Below are 26,559 nucleotides of genomic sequence, written 5' to 3'. Positions count from 1 at the left end.
ATATTTAAAGTTTAATTTTGAAATTTATTTAACTCAAAGTAATTGGATATTAAAGAACTATGCCAGCTATAAATTATTCTAACTGTAAATTATTTAAACAAATAATAAAAGAAAAGCTTTGTTTCATTTTCTTCATTATTACTCTATGATTGACTACTAAACCAACTTTTAAATATTTAAAATTAATTACAAGCTTTATCAACAAGTTCCTCTTATTTTCCATCCTACTGTCAGTCTTTTAAACAATAATTGTAGCTTTTTCAAAAGGTAATGTTTAAGAGAAGCAAGAAACACAAACTTGCAAATAGCTTTTCAGTAGTAATATTAAATGGTTAGGTTTACGAGAAATTTGAAATCAATGGCAAAAACAAACAGATGATAACATATAAAGAAGTCTAAACTCTATCTAAACACAGAGTAAAGTGTAATAATTTTACCACCTTATTTATCAAATTCTTACACCAACACTCCATTCTCAACATTGGACAGATCTAGATAAAAAATCAATAAACGACTATTGTAAACTGCACTATAGACCAGATGAAATTAACAGACATTTACAAGACATTTCATCCAGCAGCAAGAGAATATACATTCTTTTCATCACCACATGAAATCATCTCCAGACTAGACTATATGTTAGACAACAAAACATGTCTTTACAAATTTTTAAAAATCAAAATTGTATCAAGTGTCTTTTCAGACTATGAAGAAATAAAACTAGAAATTAATAACAAGAATTTTGGAAACTGTATAAATACAAAACACACGGAAATTAAACATTCTCCAGGATGACCAATGGGTCAATGGAGAAATTAAGAAAGAAATTTAAAAATTTCTTAAGACAAATGAAAATAGAAATTTAACCTATCAAAACCTATGGGATACAGTAAAATCAGCACTAAGAGGGAATTTTACTCTAATATTACTCCATGTAACAAATAGTATAGCAATAATGTACCGATAAGTGCCTACATCAAAAATTAGAAAGATTTCAAATAAAGAACCTAACAATTCTTAAGGAACAAGAAAAGCTAGAGTGAACCAAACCCAAAATTAGCAGAAGAAGACAAATAACAAAAACCAGAACAGAAATAATTGAAAGAGAGATTTAAAAATATAAAAGATCAAAAAAATTAAAAAGTTGGTGATTTAAAATGATTAAATCAACAAATGATTAGCTAGACTAAGAAATAAAGAAAGGACTCAAATAACTAAAACTGAAACAAAAAGAGACTTTACAAGTGAAACCACAAAGATACAACAGATTATTAAAAACTAATATGAATGACTATAGGCCAACAAATAGGAAAACTAGAGAAAATGGATACATGCCTGGACACATACAACCTACCAAGATTGAATCAGGAAGAAACAGAAAAGTTGAAAAAAACAATAACAAGTAACAAAATTGAACTGGTAATAAAATGTTTACCTTTCAGTAGTTTTTTAACTTTTATTTTAGATTCAGGGGTACATTTGCAGATTTGTTATACAGGTAAATTGCATGTCTCAGGAATTTGGTGTGCAGATTAATTCATTAGCCGGGTAATATGCATAGTACCTGAAAGGTAGCTTTTCAATCCTCACACTCCTCTCATCTTCCACCATCAAATAGGACCTAGTGGCTATGATTCCCTTCTCTGTGTCCTTATGTACTCAACATTTCAGCTCCTACGTAAAAGTGAGAACATGTGGTATTATTTTTTCTGTTTCTGTTTTATTTTGCTTAAGATAATGGCCTCCAGTTCCTTCCATGTTGTTTCAAAAGACATAATGTCATTCTTATTTATGGCTGCAGAGCATTCCCTGGTGTATATGTACCACATTTTCTTTATCCAGTCTACCATTGAAGGGCATTTACGCTGATTCTATGTATTTGCCATTGTGAATACTGCCACAATGAACACATGCATGCCTATGTCTTTAAGGCACATTTTTTTTTTAAACTTTAAGTTCCGGGATACAAGTGCAGAACGTGTAGGTTTGTTACAAAGATATATGTGTGCCATGGTGGTTTGCTGCACCTATCAACCTGTCATCTAGGTTTTAAGCCCCACATCAATTAGCTATTTGTCCTAATGCTCTCCCTTTTCTCGGCCCGCACCCCCGAACTGGCCCCGGTGTGTGTGTTTTTCCCTTCCCTGTGTTCAGGTGTTCTCATTGTTTAACTCTCAGTTATGAGTAAGAACACGCAGTATTTGCTTTTCTGTTCCTGTGTTAGTTTGCTGAGGATGATGGCTTCCAGCTTCATCCATGTCCCTGAAAAGGAAATGATCTCATCCTCTTTATGGCTGCATAGTATTTCATGGTGTATATGTACCACATTTTCTTTACCCAGTCTATCATAGATGGGCATTTGGATTGGTTCCATGTCTTTCCTATTGTAAATAGTGCTGCAATAAACATACATACATGTGTGTCTCTAGAATAGAATGATTTATATTCCCTTGGGTATATACCTAGTAATAGGATTTCTGGGTCAAACAGTATTTCTGGTTCTAGATCCTTGAGGAATCGCCACACTGCCTTCCACAATGATTGAACTAATTTACATTCCTGCCAACAGGGTAAAAGCTTTCCTATTTCTCCACAGCCTCGCAAGCATCTAGTGTTTCTTAACTTCTTAATAATCACCATTCTGGCTGGCATGAGATGGTATCTCATTGTGGTTTTGATTTGCATTTTCTCATGATCAGTGATATGTTGAGCCTTTTTTCATATGTTTGTTGTTCGTTGCATAAATGTCTTCTTTTTAGAAGTGTCTGTTCATATCCTTTGCCCACCTTTTAATTGTTTGTTTGTTTCTTGTAAGTTTGTTTAAGTTCCTTGTAGATTCTGGATATTAGATCTTTGTCAGATGGGTAGATTGCAAAATTTTTCTCCCATTTTGTAGGTTGCCTGTTCATTCTGCTGATAGTTTCTTTTGCTGTGCAGAAGCTCTTTAATTAGATCCCATTTGTCAGTTTTGGTTTTTGTTGCAATTGCTTTTGACGTTTTCGTCATGAAGTATTTGCCCATGCATATGTCCTGAATGGTATTTCCTGGGTTTTCTTCTAGAGTTTTTATGGTTTTGGGTTTTACATTTAAGTCTTTACCCCATCTTGAGTTAACTTTTGCATAAGGTGTAAGGAAAGAGTCCAGTTTCAGTTTTTAGCATATTGCTAGCCAGTTTTCCCAGCACCATTTATTAAGTAGGTAATTATTTCCCCATTGCTTGTTTTTGTCCAGTTTGTTTAAGATCAGATGCCTGTAGATATGTGGTGTTATTTCTGAGGTTTCTATTCTTTTCCATTTGTCCATATGTCTGTTTTGGTGCCAGTACCATGCTGTTTTGGTTACTGTAGCCGTGTAGTATAATTTGAAGTCAGGTAGCATGATGCCTTCAGCTGTGTTTTTCTTGCTTAGGACTGTCTTGGCTATATGAGCTCTTTTTTTGGTTCTATATGAAATTGAAAGTAGTTCTTTTCTAATTCTGTGAATAATGTCAATAATGTTTGATGGGAATAGCATTGAATCTAAAAATTACTTCGGGCAGTATGGCCATTTTCACAATATTCAATCTTCCTATCCATGAGGATGGAATTTTTTTTCATTTGTTTATGTCCTCTCTTATTTCCTTGAGCAGTGGTTTGTAGTTCTCCTTGAAGAGATCCTCTGCATCCCTTGTTAGCTGTATTTCTAGGTATTTTATTATTTGTAGCAATTGTGAATGGGAGTTCATTCATGATTTGGATCATTGCTTGTCTATTGTTCATATACAGGAATGCTTATTTTCCTTTGGTTATATATCTGACAATGGATCACTGAGTCAAATGGCAATTCTGTTTTAAGTTCTTTGAGAAAATGCCAAACTACTTTCCACAAGGGCTGAACTAATTTACATTCCCACCAGCAATGCATAAGTAGACCTTTTATAACCTCTCCAGTATCTGTTTTTTTTTTTTTAATGGCCATTCTGAATGATGTGAGACAGTATCTCATTGTGGTTTTGATTTGCATGTTTCTAATGACTAGTGATGTTGACTATTTTTTCCTATGCTTCTTGGCCACATCTTTTTTTAAAAAAAGTGTCTATTCACGTCCTTTGCCCATTTTTTAAGGGAAGTGTTTGTTTTTCATAGATGCTGGATATTAAACTGATATGCTTTGGCTCTGTTCCCCCCACCCAAATCTCTCCTGGAATTGTAAGAGTCCCCACATGTCAAGGTCAGAACCTTGTGGAGATAATTGAATTGTGGGGGCGGTTTCCCCCATGCCATTCTCATGATAGTGAGATCTCACAAGATCAGATGGTTTTATAAGGGGCTTCTTTTTTCACTTGGCACACATTCTCCTTCCTACCACCCTGCAAAGAGGTGCCTTCCACCATTATTGTAAGTTTCCTAAGGCCTCCCCACAATGCGAAACAGTGAGTCAATTAAACCTCTTTATAAATTACCCAGTCTCAGATATGTCTTATTAGTAGTGTGAGAACAGACTCATACAATAAATTGGTGCTAGGAGAGTGGAGCACTGCTACAAGGAAACCCAAAAATGTGGAAGCAACTTTGGAACTGAGTAACAGACAGAGTTTGGAACAATTTAGAGGGCTCAGAAGAAGACAGGAAATTGTGGGAGAGTTTGGAACTTCCTAGATACTTGTTAAGTGGCTTTGACCAAAATGCGATAACAATATGAACAATGATGTCCAGGCTGAGGTGGTCTCAGATGGAGATGAGGAACTTGTTGGAAACTGGAGCAAAGGTGACTCTTCCTATGCTTTAAACAAAGAGACTGGTGGGATTTTGCCCCAGCCCTAGAGATCTGTGAAATAGTGAACTTGAGAGAGATGATTTAGGTTTTCTGGAAGAACAAATTTCTAAGTGCCAAAGCATTCCAGAGAAAGCACAGTATAAAAGTTTGGAAAATTTGTGCCTGACAATATGATACAAAAGAAAAACCCATTTTCTGGGAGAAATTCTGGCTCCTGAACAAATTTGCGTAAGTAACGAGGAGCTAAATGTTAATCGCCAAGATGACAAGAAAAATGTCTCCAGGGCATGTCAGAGACCTTCATGGCAGCCCCTTCCATCACAGGCCTGGAGTCTTAGGATGGAAAAGTGGTTTTGTGGGCTGGGCCCATGGCCCACCTGCTCTGTGCAGCCTTGGAACATAGTGCCCTGCATCCCAGATGCTTCAGCTCTAGCTGTGGCTAAATGGGGCCAATGTACATCTCTGGCTGTTGCTTCAGAGATTGCAAGTCCCAAGCCTTGGTGGCTTATATGTGTGTTAGGTCTGCAGGTGCACAATAGTCAAGAATGAGGTTGAGGAACCTCCACCTAGATTCCTGAGGATGTATGGAAACACCTGGTTGTACAGGCAGAAGTTTGCTGCAGTGATGAAGCCCTCATGGGGAACCTATGCTATGCCAGTGAGGAAGGGAATTGTGGGGTCAAAGCCCCCACACTGAGTTCCTGCTGGGGCACTGCCTAGTGGAACTGTGAAAAGAAGGCCACTGTCCTCCGGATCCCAGATGGTAGATATGACAGCTTGCAGCACAGAGCCTGAAAAAGCCACAGACACTCAATGCCAGTCATGAAAGCAGTCAGGAGAGGGGCTATAGACTGCAAAGCCGCAAGGGTGGAGCCACCCAAGGCCATGGGAGCCTACCCCTTGCATCAAGATTATCTACATGTGAGACATGGAGTCAAAGGAGATAATTTTGGTACTTTAAGGTTTAATGACTGCTTTACTGGACTTTGGACTTGCATGGGGCCCATGACCCCTTTGTTTTGGCTAATTTCTCCTATTTGGAATAAATGTATTTACCCAATGCCTCCACCCTCATTGTATCTAGGAAGTAACCGGCTTTTGATTTCACAGGCTCAGAGGTGGAAGGGATTTGCCGAATCTCAGATGAGACTCTGGACTTGAACTTTTGGGTTAATGAGTTAAGACTTTGGGGGATTATTGGAAGGGCAAGATGTGTTTTGAAATGTGAGGACATGAGATTTGGGAGGTGGCAGGGGCAGAATAATATGGTATTTCTTTGTGTCCCCACCCAAATCTTGCCTTCAATTGTAATAATCCCCACACGTCAAGGGCAGGACCAGTGGAGATAATTAAATAATGGGGGCCATTTCCCTCATGCTGTTCTCATGATAGTGAGTGAGTTCTCACAAGATCTGATGGCTTTATAAGGGGCTTCTCCCTTTGCTTGGCACTCATTCTCCCTTCTACCATCCTGTGAGGAGGTACCTTCCCCAAAGATTGTAAGTTTCCTGAGGCTTCCCCAGCAAGGTGGAACCATGAGTCAATTAAACCTCTTTTCTTTATAAATTATCCAGTCTTGCGTATATCTTTATTAGCAGCATTAGAGTGGATTAGTACATAGACCTTTGTCTGATGCATAGTTTGCAAATATATTCTCCCATTCTGTAGGTTGTCGTGTACTCAGTTGATAGTTTCACTTGCTGTGGAGAGGTTCTTTTGTTTAATTAGGTCTCATAGGTCAATTTTTGTTTTTGTTTCAATTTCTTTTGGCTTATTTGTTATGAAGTCTTTGCCAGGTCCTATGACCAGAATGATATTTTCTAGGTTATCTTCCAAGGTTTTTATAGTTTTTGGTTTAGATTGAAGTTTTTAATCAATATTGAGTTAATTTTTGTGTCTGGTGTAAGGAAACGGTCCAGTTTTTATCTTCCACATATGACTAGTCAGTTATGCCAACATTATTTATTGAATTGGGATTCCTTTCCTCATTGCTTGTTTTAGTTAATTTTCTTGAAGATCAGATGGCTGTAGGAGTATGGCATTATTTCTGGGCTCTCTATTCTGTTCCATTGATCTATGTGTCTGTTTTCATATCAGTACCATGATGTTTTGGTTACTGTGGCCATGTAGTATAATTTGAGGCTGGGTAGTGTGATGACTTCAGCATTGTTCTTTTTGCTTAGAATTGTTTTGGGTATTCAGATTGTTTTTGATTTCATATGAATTTTAAAATAGATTTTCTAAATCTATGAAAAATGCCACTGGTAGTATGATGGGATTAGCACTGAATATGTAAATTGCTTAGGCCTTGTGGCCATTTTCAACAATATTAATTTTTACTATCCATAAGCATAAAAAGTTTTTCAATTTGTTTTTGTCATCTCTTATTTCTTTAAGCAGTGTTTCATAATTCTCTTTACAGGGGTCTTTCACTCACTTGGTTAGCTCTATTCCTACATATTTTATTCTTTTTGTGGCTATTGTAAATGAGATTGTGTTTCTTATTTGCTCTCAGCTTGGATGTTGTTGATGTATAGGAATGCTACTGACTTCAGTACATTGATTTTGCGTCCTGAAGGTTTGTTGGAGTTGTGATACATCAAGGAGCTTTTGAGCAGGGACTATGCAGTTTTCTAGGTATAATCATATTGTCTGCAAATAACAATAGTTTGACTTTTTCTTTTGCTATTTGGATGCCTTTTATTTCTTTTTCTTGCCTGAACGACACACTTAAATAGGTAGACCCATGGCATTATAAAGCAACCACACAAACAAATCTGTATAATAACTAGCTAACAACATGATGACAGGATCATATGCATACATATCCATATGAACATTGAATGTAAATGGGCTAAATGCCCCAATCAAAAGGCAGAGGGTGTAAAGTTGAATAAACAAGCAAAACTCAATGGTATATTGTCTTCAAGAGACCCATCTGCCATGCATTGGCACCCATAGGCTCAAAGTAAAGGAATAGAGAAAAATCTACCGAACAATATAAAACAGAAAAAGCAGGGGTTGCTATTCTAATTTCAGACAAAACAGACTTTGAAACAACAAAGATCAAAAAAGACAAAGAAGGGCATTACATTATGGTAAAGAGTTCAATTCAACAAGAAGATTTAACTGTCCTGAATATATATGCACCCAACACAGGAGCACCTGGATTAATAAAGCAAGTTCTTAGAGACCTATGAAGATATTTAGATAACCACACAATAATATTGGGAGATTTTAACAACCTGTTGGCAGTAGTAGACAGATCATCAAGGCAGAAAACTAACAAAGATATTCAAAACCTTAACAATTGGGGAAATGGACCTAATAAACACTTACACAATTCTCCACCCCAAAACAACAGAATATATACTCTTCTCAGCGGCATATGACACATACTCGACAATCAATCACGCAATAGGACATAAAATAATCTTTAGCAAATTCAAGAAAAACTGAAATCATACCAACCACAGTCTCAGACCACAATGCAATAAAAACAGAAATCAAAGTTAAGAAAAAAAATACCATGAAATAGAAAAGAGCAACCTGCTTCTTAATGATTTCTGGATAAAATAATGAAATTAAGGCAGAAATTAATAAATTCTTTGAAATGATTGTGAAAAAAGATACAACATACCAGAATCTCTGGGACACAGCCAAATTATTATTATGAGAAAAATTTAGAGCATAGCATGCTCAAATAAAAAAGTTAGAAAGATCTCAAATTAACAACCTAACTTTACAACTAAAGGAACTAGACGAACAAGAGCAAATTAATCCCAAAGCTAACAGAATACAAGAAATAATCCAAATCCTAGGTGAACTGAAAGAATTTGAGACACAAAAAATTATACAAAAGATCATTGAGCTTAGTAGATAGTCCTTTGAAAGAGTTAATATGATAGATATACTACCAGCTAGACGCATAAATAAAAAATTTGAGAAAATCCAAGTAAACACATTCAGAAATGACAAAGGGGACATTTGTCCCCACTGACCCCACAGTAATACAAAAAGAAAAACCCAGAGACTATTATGAACAGCTCTTTACATAAAAGATATGAGAGCTATAAAAAAAACAGATAAATTCCTGGAAACATAAGTCCTCCCAGGATTCAACCAGGAAGAGATTGAATCCCTGAACAGATCAATAAGGATTTCTGAAATTGAATCAGTAATAAAACGCCTGCCAATCAGAAAAAGCCCAGGATCAGATGGATTCACAACAAAATTCTACCAGATGTGTAAGGGAGAGCTGGTACCATTTCTATGGAAACTATTGCAAAAAATTGAGGAGGAGGAAGTCTTTCCTAACTCATTCTATGAGGCCAGTGTCATTGTGGTGTGAAACCTGGCAGAGATATAATAAAAAGAAGAAAAAAAAGAAAAAAACTTCAGGACAATATCCTTCATGAACATTGATGCAAAAATCCTCAACAAAATACTAACAAACTAAATCCAGCAGCAAATCAAAAAGCTTATCCACCACAATCATGTGGGCATCATTCATGGAATGCAAGGATGATTCAACATGTGCGAATCAATTAATGTTATTCACCACATAAACAGAACTGAAAACAAAAACCACATGACGATCTTAATAGATGCAAAAAGGACTTTCGATAAAATTCAACATCTCTTCATGTTAAAACCCCTCCAAAAACAAAACACTGAAGGAACATACTTCAAAATAATAAGAGTCATCTACTAAAAACCCACAGCCATCATCATACTGAATGAGCAAACCTAGAAGCATTCCCTTTCAGTAAATTTTTCAGTTCTCAACACTGTATTGTCAAATACAGGCACTATGTTGTACAACAGATAACTAAAATGTATTTATTCCATATAACTGTAAAATCATTAAATAATAACTTTCCATTCACCTTCCCTAAATTTCTGACAACCACCATTCTACTTCTTCTAATATTAGTTTGACTACGTTAGATACCTCATAAAAGTGAAATCTTGCAGTATTTTTCACTCTGTGACAGAATTATTTCACTTAACATAACATCTTCCCAGACTCTCCATGATGGCAATCATTTTTGTTCTTTTTAAAGATGAAATATATTCCCTTGTATGTATCAACCACATTTTCTTTATTAAATAGTCCGTTGATTGACATTTTATTTGTTTCCATATTTTGACTATGGTGAATAATGCTACAGTGAACATGAGAGTGTGGCTATTTCTTTACATAATGATTTCATTTGTTTTGGATATATAGTGAGGAGTGCAATTGCTGGATCATATGGTAGTTCTACCTTTGATTTTTTGAGAAACCTTCATACTGTTTTTCATAGTAAATCTTCCTATAATAAACACAGAGTATGTATACGTAAGGTATCTGGTGTAACATGGAACCTAGAGGAGGCACTATGGTTGCAAATCATTTAAGTTAAACTCATGGAGAAATTGGCTTTATCATGTCCTGATATTCGATTCCACTAAAGCAATGAAGTTATCTGTAAATTGAAATACTCTGTTCTCCCCGGACAATTGATGTCTTAAAGGACAATGGAAACAAAGATGGCTTAAGAAAAAATGATGGCATTTTATATTAGGATAAATCTATGTTTAAACAAAAAAAACCTAAAATGAGTAGATTTGTATTATTAGAAGCTATACGATCACAAAATAAAGTTCAAAAATAAATAAAATATCCAATAAATTTAGAGAACTCATTGTTATTCCTGGTCTTAGGCCAACTTAAAAAAACGGCTATTTAAACAAATTAGTGCTCCATAATTTCAAGGGTTTGTAGATCTCAGGCTGCCAGCAAAACTGCAGTGATAACTAACTATGGGCAGTAGTACCGTAGTCACTACTGAAAAAAGTTTGTTGACATCACAAACTCTGTAACTATTGAGATGATTTCAGATAGTTTCTGGAGTAAAAAAAAGTGATGAAATCCAAATGTAATTGAAAGTAGTCCTAATGGTTACTGAGTTGCATAGTTATATAAAAGATGAAAGAGCCAACTAAGAAAGATGTTTGTTTTCATGTTGTACATCCTCTTTTTAGATCTAATGCCAATATGCTGAATGAGTTTGCAAACAATGAGCTTCAGTGCAACATGAATTTTTGAACTGGAAAAATCAACACAATGCTATTACTTCTCAATGTCAGCAGGTTAATAGAAGAAATGCAGAATAAAAATGGTTATACATGCAAATATTCACGTAACATATCAACCTAAATTTTGGTCATAAGAAAATCCATTTCAAAAGTAAAGGTAGCTTATACTTAACCTATCTGAAGCTATAGTGAACTTTGAATTTAATGTTAGGTTCTAATTTTCTTAAGTAGAAAAAGTTCTATATAAAGTCAATTTTAGCTTTATCATAAAATGCTTTTATTATGTAGTCCTAGGCCAACCAGGAGACAGGGGCTAATTTGCTGATATATTTTACTGAATGCACTAAGAATAATAAGTGCCCACCAGGAGTTTTTAAATCCACTTAGAGCCTCTTCATCAAAGACAGAAGAGTAGAAGTTAAGTATTCTCAGACATAACGACTTCCTAAATAAACCTTGCACTAATTAGGTACCCATGATAAAAAAAAAAACACTTCATTGGGCAGTAAGAGAGGCAGAGGCAGGAAGTGCTTGTAAAATTGTCCTGAATTTTAACCAATGTTTTGTAAAAAAAAAATTAATTTTCACCAGGGTATATTTTTCTGTTAATGTTGAATCCTTCAATTCACACATTTAAAATGTGACTCTTTTAATACATTTACATACTACCATCTGATAAAAATAATTTATTTTATGATGTGCTTAGTAAAAGATTTGTGCTAAATAAAAACATTTTGTAAAATAAGTGCAGCATTCTTTGACCGATAATAATTTTGACAAAAAGAAAAATATAACAGTTTAAGAAATTTTTTTTAAAAGCCTTTTTTGTTGTTGCACAATCTTTTCAATTTCCCCTAAACTCACACTATGTTGATATAGATACTATGTTCTTAACTTTAATTCAAGTTTAGCTTTAGAGAAAAAGACATTTATTTCCCACAAGTGGATAAAAAATCTCAAGGCAATTAACAAGTAATGGAAACAAAATGTCAGAATCAGAGAGTATGTTTAATAATCTACAGAGAAACCCACATTTCATGCAGTAGATCAGAAGAAAATATTTAACATCAACTCCAGGATTTAATATTTAGAGTGCTGAACTTAGAAGATGATTAAATGGTGAACCTAAGCAACTCTTATGCCAAGGTCAGGTCTCTAACTTGGAAAACCTGAGCTCCTTGAATAGGAATTACTTTCTGAATGAACCCAAAGATTTTGGTTTCATGAACTTTCACTCCACCCCATAAAAGCTAGTACCCTTCTCTGTGGAAAATAATACAGATATTGTTTCACAGTGAGGCAACAAGGTTCCCCTCTCATGAGCAAATCCCACCACCTCTTCTAAACAGCAAGCTGATAACTCAATTCACATTTGAAAAAATCGGGGTGGGGGCAGGGCAAGATGCCTGACTAGAAGCCTTGGTGTTCAAAGGCTCTCATCGAAAAAATACATAATAAGAGTGTGAATTCTTCACCAGCAGCCAAGGTATCCAGGTTCTCTCATCAAAATTTACTAGAAGGCTGGCTTGACCCATGGAGAGAAGGAACAGCAGTGTGGTGCAGTGGTCCACCCGAGAGCCATGCAGGGAAGGGAAACTCCCTCCCTGGGCCAAGGGAGGCAGTGAGTGAGAGCACTACCCAGCCAGGGAAACTGTGCTTTTTCCATGGAACTGTGCAACTCATGGACCAGAAGATCTCACTCGTGAACCTATGCCACTGGGGCTTCTGTCCCAACTCCTGAACACAGAGATTCTTACAGCCTTTCAGCTGGAATCTGCTTAAGCCTACTGAATTCCTAGGGGGAGGGCTGACCAGCACCTGCTGATGCTGCCTGCAGTCTAAGCCATTTGAACTCCTTGGGGGAAAGGCAGCAGCCAGCAGTGGGACTCACAACTGCCTAATACACCAAACTCCCTGGGCTGGGGAAGGGCAGCAACCATTTCTATAGCTCCAGTCTGTGCTTTTCCCCTGCTGGAGCCAGGGAGACTGGATGGCTTGGTCCCAAGACTTGTCCCAACAGCCCAACACACAGGCTGTGGCAGTCTGGAGCCAAAGTGCCTCTTCAGGTCTAACCCGGACCCATCCTTCCTCAATGGGTGGGGCTTCCCTGCAGGATCTCCAGTAACTCCAACCAGAGGCTCAGGAACAGAATTTGGATATCCCTGGGACTGAGCCCCTAGGGAGAGGGGTGGTGGCAGTCTCTGCAGACCAGCTGACTTTGCCTCTCCTTCTGGTAGTTCTGAGGAATCCAGGCAGCCCAGATGGGTCCCCAGTGAAACACACCCTCTCCGCTAAGGGACAAAGTGCTTTGGGAAACAGGTCCTGTTCACCATGCCATCCAACTGGGTGAGACCCTCCAACAGGGGTTGTCAAATATCCTATAAAGGAATGATCCTACTGACATCAGTTTGGTGCCCTTTGAGGTCAGAGGTCCTAGAAGAAGAAGCAGGGACCCATCTTTGCTGCTCTCCAACCTCCTTGAATGACATCTCCAGGCACGGGAGTGAATTAAATGAATAGGGACTGAAGTGAACCCTCAGCAAACTGGCACCACCCTACAGAAGGGGGACCAGATTATTGAAAGAGAAACAAACAAGCAAAAAGCAAAAACAATGGCATCAACAACAAAAAGACCCCCACCAAAACCCCAGCCAAGGGTCAGAAGTCTCAAAGACTGAAACTAGACAAACTCACAAAGATGAGAAAGAATCAACAACAAAAAAAATGCAGAAAACCCAAAAGGCCAGAGTGCCTCTTCTCCTCCAAATGATCATAAAGTCTCCCCATTAGGGGCCCAGAACTGGACAGAGGATAAGATGAACTAACTGACAGGAGTGGAGTTCAGAAGATTATTGGGGGAACCTGCCCCCAGTATTTCAACATAGGTTCTTTCAATTTTCCATAAGTGTTGGCCGGCTGAGAAATAAAGAGACAGTACAAAGAGAGGAATTTTATAGCTGGGCCACCAGGGGTGACATCACATATCAGTAGGACCGTGATGCCTGCCTGAGTCTCAGACCAGCAAGTTTTTATTCAGGGTTTCAAAAGGGGAGGGGGTGTAAGAACAGGGAGTAGGTACAAAGATCCCATATTTCAAAGGGCAAAAAGCAGAACTACTAATAAGGGTCTCACAAAGATCACATGTTTCTGAGGGAACAGGACAAAGGACAAAAGCAGAACTACTGATATGGGTCCAAAAAGATCACAAGGCAAAGGGCAAAAGCAGAACCACTGAAAAAGGTCTATGTTTCACTGCTATGTTCAGCAGTGAAAAAGGTCTTGATAAACATCTTAAACAACAGAAAACAGGGTTCAAGAGTAGAGAACCAGTCAGACCACAAATTTACCAGGGCAGAGTTTTTCCCCACCCTAGTAAACCTGAGGGTACTGCAGGAGACCAGGGTGTATCTCAGTCCTTATCTCAACTACATAAGACTGACATTCCCAGAGTGGCCATTTATAGACCTCCCCCCAGGGAATGCGTTCCTTCCCCAGCATATTAATATTAATATTCCTTGCTAGGAAAAGAATTTAGTGATATCTTCCCTACTTGCACGTCTGTTTATAGACTCTCTGCAAGAAGAAAAATATGGCTCTTTTTGCTCGACCCTGCAGGCAGTCAGACCTTATGGTTGTCTTCCCTTGTTTCCTAAAAATTGGTGTTATTCTGTTCTTTTTCAAGGTGCACTGATTTCATATTGTTCAAACACACATGTTTTACTATCAATTTGTACAGTTAACACAATTATCACTGTGTCCTGAGGTGACATACATCCTCTGCTTACGAAGATAACAGGATTAAGAGATTAAAGTAAAGACAGGCATAAGAAATTATAAAAGTATTATTTGGGAACTGATAAATGTCCTTGAAATCTTCACAATTTATGTTCCTCTGCTGTGGCTCCAGCCAGTCCCTCCGTTCAGGGTCCCTGACTTCCCGCAACAGAAGATGGGTTAAAAAAAATATGTTGAGCTAAAGGAGCATGTTCTAACCCAATGCAAAGAAGCTAAGAACCTTGATAAAAGGTTAGAGGAATTGCTAACTAGAATAACCAGTTTAGAGGGGAACATAAACAACCTGATGAAGCTGAAAAACACAGATGAGAACTTTGTGAAGCATACAGAAGTAACAACAGCTGAGTTGACCAGGCAGAAGAAAGTATATCGGAGTTTGAAGACCACCTTACTGAAATAAGACATGCAGACAAGAATAGAGAAAAAAGAAGGAAAAGGAAAGGAAAGAACAAAGCCTCCAAGAAATATGGGACTTCATAAAAAGACTGAACCTACAATTGATTGAAGTAACAAAAGGAAATGGGGAGAATGGAAACAAGCTGAAAAACACACAGCAGGGATTGCAATCCTAGTCTCTGACAAAACAGAATTTAAACCAACAAAGATCAAACAGACAAAGAAGGGCATTACATAATGGTGAAGGGGACAATTGAACAAGAAGAGCTAACTATTCTAAATGTATATGCACCCAACACAGGAGCACCCAGATTCATAAAACAAGTTCTTAGAGGCCTACAAAGAGACTTAGGCTCCCACCCAATGTCAGTATTAGACAGATCAACGAGACAGAAAATTAACAAGGATATTTAGGACTTGAACTCAGCTCTGGATCAAGTGGACCTAGCAGACTTCTACAGAACTCTGTACCCCAAATCAACAGAATATACATTCTTCTCAGTGCCACATGACACTTATTCTAAAATCAAACACAAAATTAGAAGTAAAAAAATGTTCAGCAAATGCAAAAACCTGAAACCATAACAGTCTCTCAGACAACAGTGCAATCAAATTAGAACTCAGGATTAAGAAACTCACTCAAAACCACATAATTTTATGAAAATTGAAAAACCTGCTGCTGGATGACTCCTGGGTAAATAATGAAATAAAGGCAGAAATCAAGAAGTTCTTTGAAACCAATGAGAACAAAGAGACAATGTACCAGATTCTCTGGGACACAGCTAAAGCAGTTTTAAGAGGAAAATTTATAGCACTAGATTCCCAAATCAGAAAGCTAGAAAAATCTCAAATCAACACCCTAATATAAGAATTAAAAGAACTAGAGAAGCAAGAGGAAACAAATCAAAAAGCTAGCAGAAGACAAGAAATAGCTAAGATCAGAGAATAATTGAAAGAGATAGGGACACAAAAAATCAACAAATCCAGGAGGTAGTTTTTTGAAAAAAATTAACAAAATAGATAGACTGCTAGCTAGACTAATAACGGAGAGAGAAGAATCAAATAAACAAAATAAAAAATGTTAAAGGGGATATCACCACTGACCTCACAGAAATACAAACTATCGTCAGAGAATACTATAAATACCTGTATTCAAATAAACTAGAAAATCTAGAAGAAATGGATAAATTCCTGGACGCATACACCCTACCAAAACTAAACCAGGAAGAAGTTGAATCCCTGAATAGACCAATAACAAGTGCTGAAATTGAGGCAGAATTAATAGCCTAGCAACCAAAAAAAGCCTAGGAACTACCTGATTCACAGCTACATTCTACCAGAAATACAAAGAGGAGCTGGTACCATTCCTTCTGAAACTATTTCAAATAACTGAAAAGGAGGGATTCATCCCTAACTCAATTTATGAAGCCAGCATCATACTGATAGCAAAACTGGGAAGAGACACAACAAAAAAAGAAAAAAATCAGTCCACTATTCCTGATTAATATTGATGCAAAAATCTTCAATAAAATACTGGCAAACTGAATCCAGCAGCACATCAAAAAACTTATCGACCGTGATCAAGTCGGCTTCATCACTCAGATGCAAGGCTGGTTCAACATGCACAAATCAATAAACATAATCTATTACATAAACAGAACCAAAGACAAAAGCCACATGATTATCTCAATAGATGCAGAAAAAGCCTTTGATAAAATTCAACATTCCTTCATGTTAAAAACTCTCAATGTACTAGGTATTGATTGAATATATCTAAAAATAATAAGAACTATTTATGACAAACTCATAGCCCATATCATATTGAATTGGCAAAAGTTGGAAGCATTCCCTTTGAAAACCTGTGCAAGGCAAGGATACCCTCTCTCATCACTCCTATTCAACATAGTATTGGAAGTTCTGGCCAGGGCAATCAGGAAAGAGAAAGAAAAAAGGCGGATTAAAATGGGAAGAGAGGAAGTCAAGTTGTCTCTCTTTGCAGATGACACGATTTTATATTTTAAAAAACCCCATCATATCAGCCCTTAAATTTCTTGACCTGATAAGCAACTTCAGGAAAGTCTCAGGATACAAAATCAATGTGCAAAAATCACAAGCATTCCTTTATGCCAACAATAGACAAGAAGAAAGCCATATCATGAATGAACTCCCATTTACAATTGCTACAAAGAGAATAAACTACCTACGAATACAGCTAACAAGGCATGTGAAGAGCCTCTTCAAATAGAACTACAAACCACTGCTCAAGGAAATAAGAGAGGACACAAACAAATGGAAAAACATTCCATCCTCATGGATAGGAAGAATAGGAAGAATCAATTTCGTGAAAATGGCCATACTGCCCAAAGCAATTTACAGATTCAATGTTATTCCCATCAAACTACCATTGACATTCTTCACAGAATTGGAAAAAAACTACTTTAAATGTCATATGGAACCAAAAAGGATCCCGTATAGCCAAGACAATCCTAAGCAAGAAGAATAAAGCTTCGGCAAAGACTTCATGACAAAAATTCCAAAAGCAATTGCAACAAAAGCCAAAATTGACAGATGGGATCTAATTAAACTAAGGAACTTCTGCAGAGCAAAATAAACTATCATAAGAATGAACAGGCAATCTACAGACTGGGAGAAAATTTTTGCAATCTACCCAACTGACAAAAGTCTATTATCCAGAATTTATAAGGAACTTAAACATATTGCAAGAAAAAAATAAACAGGCACATCAGAAAGCAGACAAAGGATATGAACAGACACTTCTCAAAAGAAGACATTTACACAGCCAAAAAACATATGAAAAAAAAAAGCTCAACATCAGTGATCATCTGAGAAATGCAAATCAAAAACACAATGAGATACCATCTCATGCCAGTCAAAATGGCGATTATTAAAAAGTCAGGAAACAACAGATGCTGGTGAGGGTGTGGAGAAATAGGAACACTTTTGCACTGTTGGTGGGAGTGTAAATTAGTTCAACCATTGTGGAAGACAGCATGGCAATTCCTCAAGGATCTAGAACCAGAAATACCATTTGACCCAGCAATCCCATTATTAGTATATACCCAAAGGAAAATAGTAAATTGTTATACTGTAAAGACACATGCACTCGTATGTTTATTGCAGAACTATTTATAATAGCAAAGACATGGAACCAACCCAAATGCCCATCAATGATAGACTAGATAAAGAAAATGTGGTACACATACCCCGTGGAATACTATGCAGCCATAAAAAGGAATGAGATCATGTCCTTTGTAGGGACATGAATGAAGCTGGAAGCCACCATCCTCGGCAAACTAACATAGGGACAGAAAACCAAACACTGCATGTTCTCACTTATAAATGGGAGTTGAACATTGAGAATACATGGACACAGAGAGGGGAACAACACACCAGGGCTTGTTGTGGGGTTGGGGGTGAGGGGAGAGAACTTAGGAGTCAGGTCAATAGGTGCAGCAAACCACCATAGCACATTTATACCTATGTAACAAACCTGCACATTCAGCACATGTATCCCGTTTTGTTTTTTTTTTAGGAGAAATAAAACACACACACACACACACACACACACACAAAAATTCAAGGATCCCATAATATCCCCCTTCAAAAAAGATAGTGAAGTTAAAATTAGTTATTCAGATGAACCCTAATCTAATATGGCTGGTGCCCATATAAGAAGAGGAGATTAAGACACAGACACTCATAGAGAGTGACCATTTGAATATGAAGGCAGTCAAAGAAATAGACCTCAGAAAAAACCATTTTGAACTTGGACCTGCAGTCTTTAGCACTGTGAGAAAATTAATTTCTGTTGTTTACACAGTCACACAGTCATTAGTAATTTGATGATCAAATAAAGAAGAAATTACTTTAGCATTAAAAAAATCTGGATCATGTGGACATTGCAGAAAACATCACATTGCTCCACTTTATTAATGTCCTCTACTCATTTTATTGAAAGATCAAGAAGTAGCTACACTATTGGAAAACTTGTGAGACATTCAATTCAGAGGATGAAGACTAAGCCCTATGAAGATTCAGAGACCAGTTCAGTAAAAATATTTACAGACCTATTAGAAGCATACTAGATATTGTTTCTAAATTAACAAATAAATTTAAGTATCTTATATGTTTTACTACAAAATAGGTACAATGCCTAATAGACCTATGCTCACTACTAAAGTACAATTTCACACATAGGATGCTTCTGTGACCCATAAAAAGGTAACCTGAGAGGCTTTGTGGGGTGTACATGTTGTGAGGTAAGTATTATTCCCCTATGGGCCATATGCTCCAATAGAACATAGTATTATGCTGAAAGGGTTATTAGTAAAAAAAAACATGTTGCGAGGTGTTTGTGGTGAGTCCTAGAGGAAAATTCAGAACATAGCCCACTGAGTCCTAGAACAAGACTATGCTATCTGTAGCAAATAACTATGTGTTTATTAAAAAAAATTACTCATCTGTCACCAAACCCTGATAGAGATGGAATTTTTAACCATTGGACACCATGCGAGCATGGATGTGGAACTGCCTAACATGAGCTCAGACCTTTGACACCCATCAAGTCATAAATAAGTCTGGGTTATCCTGCAATAATCCTTTGTAAGATGCAAATTGCATGTTTAATACTAAGTATAAGCAGAAAGAGGGGTTATAAGTAAGACACATGAGCAGGTATTGCCCCATGCTCCATGTACTCCGTCTGATCCCTCCTTGTTCAATGGAGTTTTACTTGTTTTCCTTCTTCAGCGCACAAGAAGGATATTTTTCCAAATGATCACATGCATAGGATAAAAAAATCCTGAGCTTGGCTTATGGATGAGTTTCCCAGGAAGTAAATGTAAGCTAAAAATACAGAATGACTGTACTACAGCTTTGCACATAAATGGCCTTGAAGGACAAAGTTTTTACCAATAGGTGATGCTTTAGAAAGTGCACCTATTCTTCTACTTTGTGTAGTAGGCAAAGTACTTTGAGAATAGAATATATATGGACACATTGGCAGTAGTCAGTAGTTTAAAACCCTCAGGAATAAAGATTTATTTCACACCACCAAGTAAACCAAATATGGTATCTGAGGGTAAACAAAATATAAAATAAATAATAGACAGACGATGAATAGCATTTAAGACCCTAAAATCAACTTTAGTGATGAGTACTGAAGTTTACCCCACTAAAAATACCCCCTTCTAATTCTTCCTTCAGGGAAAATAACCCATTTTGAAGGGGCTGCTTAAAAATTGGATCTATGTTGTATAATTAAGAGCTTGCTGCTCAGCTACAATGAATGTGCTTAGCTAACAGCCACTAGGTTTTAGTTCCTTTTCAGGATCTGCTTCAGTACTCAAGATGAGGCTAAGCTTCTTCAGGAAAAGCTTCTAGCCAATGACAGAGCAAGTCAGTGGTAGGTAAAGTCAAGCTCTTCTTAAGTTGGCACCCATATAGTAGCTGAGCAGGTAGGTGGTAGTGACATAGCCATTCTATCCAATATATAACTCTTTTAACAGGATATTTCTTTAGAGTTCATGATTGAGTTGCTACTCTGTTAGGTCTATATCTTGGTCTGACAATACCCTCTGATCATACTGCATCCCTTTCTTCTTTTAGAAGCTTCAGCCTTAATAATCCTTTTGCCCTATTAATTTTATCTTACCATCAGCTTCTCAATAAAACCTAATTTCAATGGTCTGCTATAATAAATTGGTATGTTTTCATTATTTTTATAGGGTTGTCAAGGTGTTATCATTAATTAATTTGTTCCTTTTGTTCTATAAGTATCTAAATACGTTTTTTTCAGAATCTGAGGATCTGGATTCTGTCCAAAGCTGTATGTTGGATACCTTGGTTATTCCCACAAAAATCTGGCCTTATAGAAATTAACATCAACAAGATAGCAAAATAGAAGATCTCAGGCAAATTTGGACAGCTAAAACATAAATGGAAAGAGGAGAAAGAAGTGTGTACTTATTGTATGCAATCAAGATTATCAGCTTTAAATCAACATTATCAGCTTCAAATAGACTATTCTAAATGCAAGATGTTCTTTGTAAGCCTCATGGTAACCAGAAAGCAAAAATCTACATGATATGCACAAAACAAAAATAAAAACATTCAAAACATATTGCTACAGAAAACCATCAAGCCACAAAGGAAGAGAGTAAGAGAGGAAGAAAGAACAAAAAGGTTACTTACAAAAATTCCAGAAAACAACAAAATGGCAGAATTAAGTCCTTACCTATCAATAATTACCTTAGATGTAAATGGATTATATTATAAAATAAAAATATATATAATGAGTAAATGAATTAAGAAAAATCAGACCCAACTATACGCTTCTTACAAGAGATGAAGTTTGCTTTTATGGGCACACATAGTCTGAAATTGAAGGATGGAAATAAGATATTTCACACAAATGGAAATCATAAAGGAGCAGGTGCAAAAATTTAGACAAACTAGATTTTAAATAGAGAAGAATAAAGGAGAAAAAGAAGGACATTTAAAAATTGATAAAAGAGTTAATTCATCAAGATAATATAACAATTATAAATTTGTATGAACTCAACAGTGGAGCATCTAAATATATAAGGCATATTAAAGGATATGAAAAGAGAGATAAGTTGCAATACAACAATAGTAGAAGACTTCAATACACCACTTTTAATATTGAACAGTTAATTGAGACCAAAAATTAATAAGAAAATACTGAACTTGAACAATGCTTTACAGAAGAACGCATATTCTTCTCAAACATACCTGGCATAATTTTCAGGATAGATCATATTTTGGTCACAAAACAAGTATTAGCAAATTGAAAAATGTTGAAATTATATCAAGTACCTTTTTAAACCCTAAAGGTATAAAATCAGAAATCAATAACTATAGGAATTTCAGAAAATTGACAAATGCATGAAAATGAATCAACATACCCACAATCAATAAATCAATGAAGAAATTAAAATAAAATGTACAAATAGCTTGAGACAAATAAAATGGAAACAAAATCTACTAAAATGTATGGAAAGAAGCAAAGAAGTTTTCCAAGGAAACTTTATAGCAAGAAATGCCTACATCTGAAAAGAAGAAAGATTGCAAACAACTTGATGTTACAACCCAAGATAATAGAAAAGGAAAAAAATACAATCAATGTTAGCAAAAGGGGGAAAAAGAGATCAAAACAGAAAAGAATAAAACAGCAACTAGATAAATAATGCAAAAGAGCAAAAAAACTAAGAGTTGGTTTTCTGAAAAGAGTAACAAAATTGACAAACGTTTAGGAAGATTAACCAAGAGTATAAGAGAAAAGACTCAAAGGAATAAAATCAGAAATGAAAGAAGGAACATTAGAACTGACACCTCAGAAATACAAACAGTCATAACAGACTATCATGAATAATTATATGCCAAAGTGTGGATAACCTAAAAGAAATTGATAAATTATTTGACATAACCTACCAAGCCTGAATTACGAAGAAATAGAAAATCTAGACGGACCAATACTGAGTGAAAAGATTGAATCAGTAATAAAATGTATTCCATCATAAAAGGCCCAGGACCTGATGACTTCACTGCTGAATTCTACCAAACATTTAAAAAACTGATACCAATTTCTCAAAAATGACTTCAAAGAATTGAAGGGGTGGGAACAGTCAAACCCGTTTCACTAGGCTAGCATTAACCTGATACCAAAGCCAGACAAGGACATCACTAGAAAAGAAAACTACAAGCCAATATTTTTGGGAAACAGAGATACAAAAATCATGAACAAAACACAGGCAAACTAAATGCAATAACAAAAGAATCATTTATTATGATGAAGTGAGATTTATCTCTGGGATTCAAGGATGGTTCGACATTTGCGAATCAATAAATGTGATTCACAGCATAAACAAAATGAAGGACAAAAATTATATGACCATCTCATAAGATGCTTATAAAACATTTGACAAAGTTCAATATCCTTTCTTATAAAAACTCTCTCAACAAATTAGATATACAAGAAATGTACATCAACACAATAAAAAAATGTATTACAAACACACAGATAACACACAAAGGAGAAAAGTTGAAAGCTTTTCTTCTAAGATCAGGAACAGGACAAGGATGCCCACTCTCAACAGTCCTATTCAATGTAGTACAGGAGGTCCTAGCCAGAACAATTAGGCAGGAGAGTGACAGGAAAGACATGCAACTTGGAAAGAGACAAGTTAAGTTGTCTGTTTCCAGACTATATAATTTTATGTATAGAAAACACTAAAGATTTCAACAAAAATAATAGAACTGGTAAATGATTTCAGCAAAGTTGCAGGACACTAAATCAACATGTAAAAATCAGCAGTGTTTCTCTACCCCAACAATAAAATTTCTGAAAAATATAACCAAGGGAATAATCACATTTACAATAGCTACAAAAAAATTAAAATGAGTTTTACACTAAAAACTAGGAAACATTAATGAATGAAACTTAAGACATCCAAATGGCTAACAGATATATGAAAAATGCTCAACACCGCTAATCATTAAGGAGATGCAAATTAAAACCACATGAGATATTACCTCACACCAATTACAATGGCTATTATTAAAAAGGCAAAAGATAACCAATTCTGGTAAGGATATGAAGAAAACAGATTTCTTGTACATTGCTTGTAGGAATATAAATTAGTATAATCATATAGAAAATAGTCTCTAAAGTTTCCAAAAAATAAAAATAAAAAGTAGAATTACTCTATGATCTAGCAATCCTACTTCTGGGCATTTACCTGAAAGATTTGAAATCAGTGTGTCAAAGAGATGTTTACACTCCCATGTTCATTGCAGTACTGTGTATAATGGCTAACCTATGAATTCAACATAAGTTTTCTTCAAGGGACGGATGATAAAAAAATTCTGTCATTTGTGACATCATAGAACATTAGCAAAATGTTCTCCAATTCCATTCATGAAATGAAACATGTCAAACACAGACAAATACCAAATGTTCTCACTTATATGTAGAATCTAAACCAATTGAATTAATGGAAGCAGAGAGTAGAAGGGTGGTATCCAGAAACTGGGATGTGAGGGAAACAGGAATAGTCAAAGGGCATAAAGGTACAAAGCCTCAGACAGTAGGAATATGCACATTTTTTAGAACAATTACACAGCATGGTGAATATAGCTATAACTGAATATTGTACAGTTAAATTTTATTAAGAAAGTAAATTTCAAATGCCCTTATCAAAAAATTATTAAATATTTGGGATAACAAATATGTTAAGCTTTATTTAACCATTACACATTGTTTTCAGAAATTATAATATCACCCTGTATGCAAAACATACATACATCACCATACATATAATTTGTCAACAAAAAGGAATTCACAGAATAATACAAATAATGAGATACATTCATAGATAAAAATATGGTATTTATTGTTATTAAGCAAACTTTCAAGAAATAAGCACTGTGAGCATTTTTTTTTTCATACTTTAAGTTTTAGGGTACATGTGCACAACGTGCAGGTTTGTTACATATGTATACATGTGCTATGTTAGTGTGCTACACCCATTAACTCATCATTTACATTAGGTATATCTCCTAATGCTATCCCTCCCCGCTCCCCCCACCCCACAACAGGCCCCTGTGTGTGATGTTCCCCTTCCTGTGTCCATGTGTTCTCATTGTTCAATTCCCACCTATGAGTGAGAACATGAGGTGTTTGGTTTTTTGTCCTTGCGATAGTTTGCTGAGAATGATGGTTTCTAGCTTCATCCATGTCCCTACAAAGGACATGAACTCATCATTTTTTATGGCTGCATAGTATTCCATGATCTATATGTGCCACATTTTCTTAATCCAGTCTATCATTGTTGGACATTTGGGTTAGTTCCAAGTCTTTGCTATTGTGAATAGTGCCACAATAAACATATGTGTGCATGTGTCTTTATAAGCAGCATGATTTATAATCCATTGGGTATATACCCAGTAATGGGATGGCTGGGTCAAATGGTATTTCTAGTTCTAGTGAGCATTTAGATAAGCAAGCCATTGTTTTCTTTGAGGAATGCAGGCATCATAGAGGATGTAGTATCTATTACTGTGAAAATTTTCATCCTATGAGTCTTGAAAGGAGGCAGAGCCCATCTACCATGGTAGACGTCAAAGATACAGATATAGATTTCTGTAGCCTTCCTTAGAGAAAGGGTACTACTACATGACCTAGATTTACTGGTCAGATTCCACCCATCCTACTTCTGAACTTTGAATCAGTTCATTTCAAAAGAAAAGGGACAGTAGAGAAAACATCTCGGTGTTGATGGTGAAGTGGTAGTGTAGCATCCAGGTTCCAGGCTCAGCAGTAGAAGCATCAATTGTCCTGCAGCAGCAACTAAAATAGCGCCAGCTTAGCAGGGCAGCTCTGTCCTCATGGGCCTGGCTCTGGAACTTGATATTTACCAGTTGGCTGCTGCCTGGCCTCCCTTGTGTCTGACCATTCTCGAACTTGGTTCACAATTTTTCCTTTCACACCACTAGCTACTAAATACTTATTCAATACATTTATATTCTGTGTAAATGAGACAGTGTTGTTTTCTGTTGCTTGCTTCAAAAAACACCAGCTGATACAGAGAGATGATGCATGAACACACACAGATGGATGAGGTAAAACAGAATAGAAAAGTCAAAAATTTAGAATTCTCGATTTTTCTGTTGCCTACAACCACTACATCGAAACTTCTAGCTAAATCTACTGTTTTATTCTCCAAAACATATCTTCCTGTATTTATTGTCCATCTCCATTACTATGACCCTGTTGAAGCCACATCTCTTTCCTATGTTAAGCAAAATTTTATGTAAATATCCTCTCTAGGTCCCAAATTAATTTAAGCTTCTCATAAGCCAGTGGCTAAAAGGTTTAGAAAACCAAAGGAGAGTTATCAATTAGAAAGCTTTTGCAAAAACTATTTTCTACTTAAGATAGCATTGGATTTTAACCAGACATTCACTGCAATGGATTTTCAGACCTCTGTTTTTTTCTTTCTTTTTTTTTTTTTCAGGCCTTGAAGTTGTAGTAGAATTGTAAAAGGCTCTTCATCTCCCGCTCTCTTCTACATATAGAAAGCAGGAGAAATAAATTCATCTATTGTCACATTTTCTGGAAACAGTCTGGTTACCCCTGTTTCTCCCTTGAGGTGACCAGCCTGCTTCAACTGAATGCTCAACAGAGATATCATATTACAGTTTTACTTTCTCATTTTGAACATGGAAAGACTAGCTTCCTCTATTTTTTAGAGGCTATATTGCAATGTAGTAAGAATTTATGGAAAATTCTCACAACAAAATTGAATATAGAAAGACTACAGAATACTTCCTCCTTTGGTGATTACTCATGTAACTGTTTTCCAACTCATAAAGTAAGCAAGTTAAACTCTTCTCCTATCACTCCAAGAAAATGTGAACTGTTCATTTGTCTGGAAAAATCTATAATTGAATCCATCTGTGCCTGTGGGTTTCAGTTTATTTTCCCTT

General features: G+C 36.1%; 1 long non-coding RNA gene across 5 annotated transcripts in view; it reads right to left on the bottom strand.

Moving 5' to 3' along the window:
* LOC105377261 (uncharacterized) overlaps window positions 1-23,972 on the bottom strand; it is a 148,733-nt gene extending 124,761 nt beyond the window's left edge. For 4 of the 5 annotated variants that reach the window (XR_007058453.1, XR_938844.2, XR_938843.2 and 1 more), the window contains exon 1: window positions 23,811-23,972. This is a non-coding gene — a long non-coding RNA (uncharacterized LOC105377261). Of the gene's footprint in view, window positions 1-1,564; window positions 1,675-23,810 lie in introns of all 5 variants that reach the window. The other variant, XR_938845.2, reaches the window with a different exon arrangement.
* Between the last annotated feature and the right edge of the window lie 2,587 nt (window positions 23,973-26,559).

This window comes from Homo sapiens, chromosome 4, assembly GCF_000001405.40.
Source record: "Homo sapiens chromosome 4, GRCh38.p14 Primary Assembly".
NCBI classification, from domain to species: Eukaryota; Metazoa; Chordata; class Mammalia; order Primates; family Hominidae; genus Homo; species Homo sapiens.
This window is presented reverse-complemented; position numbering and strand designations above follow the sequence as displayed.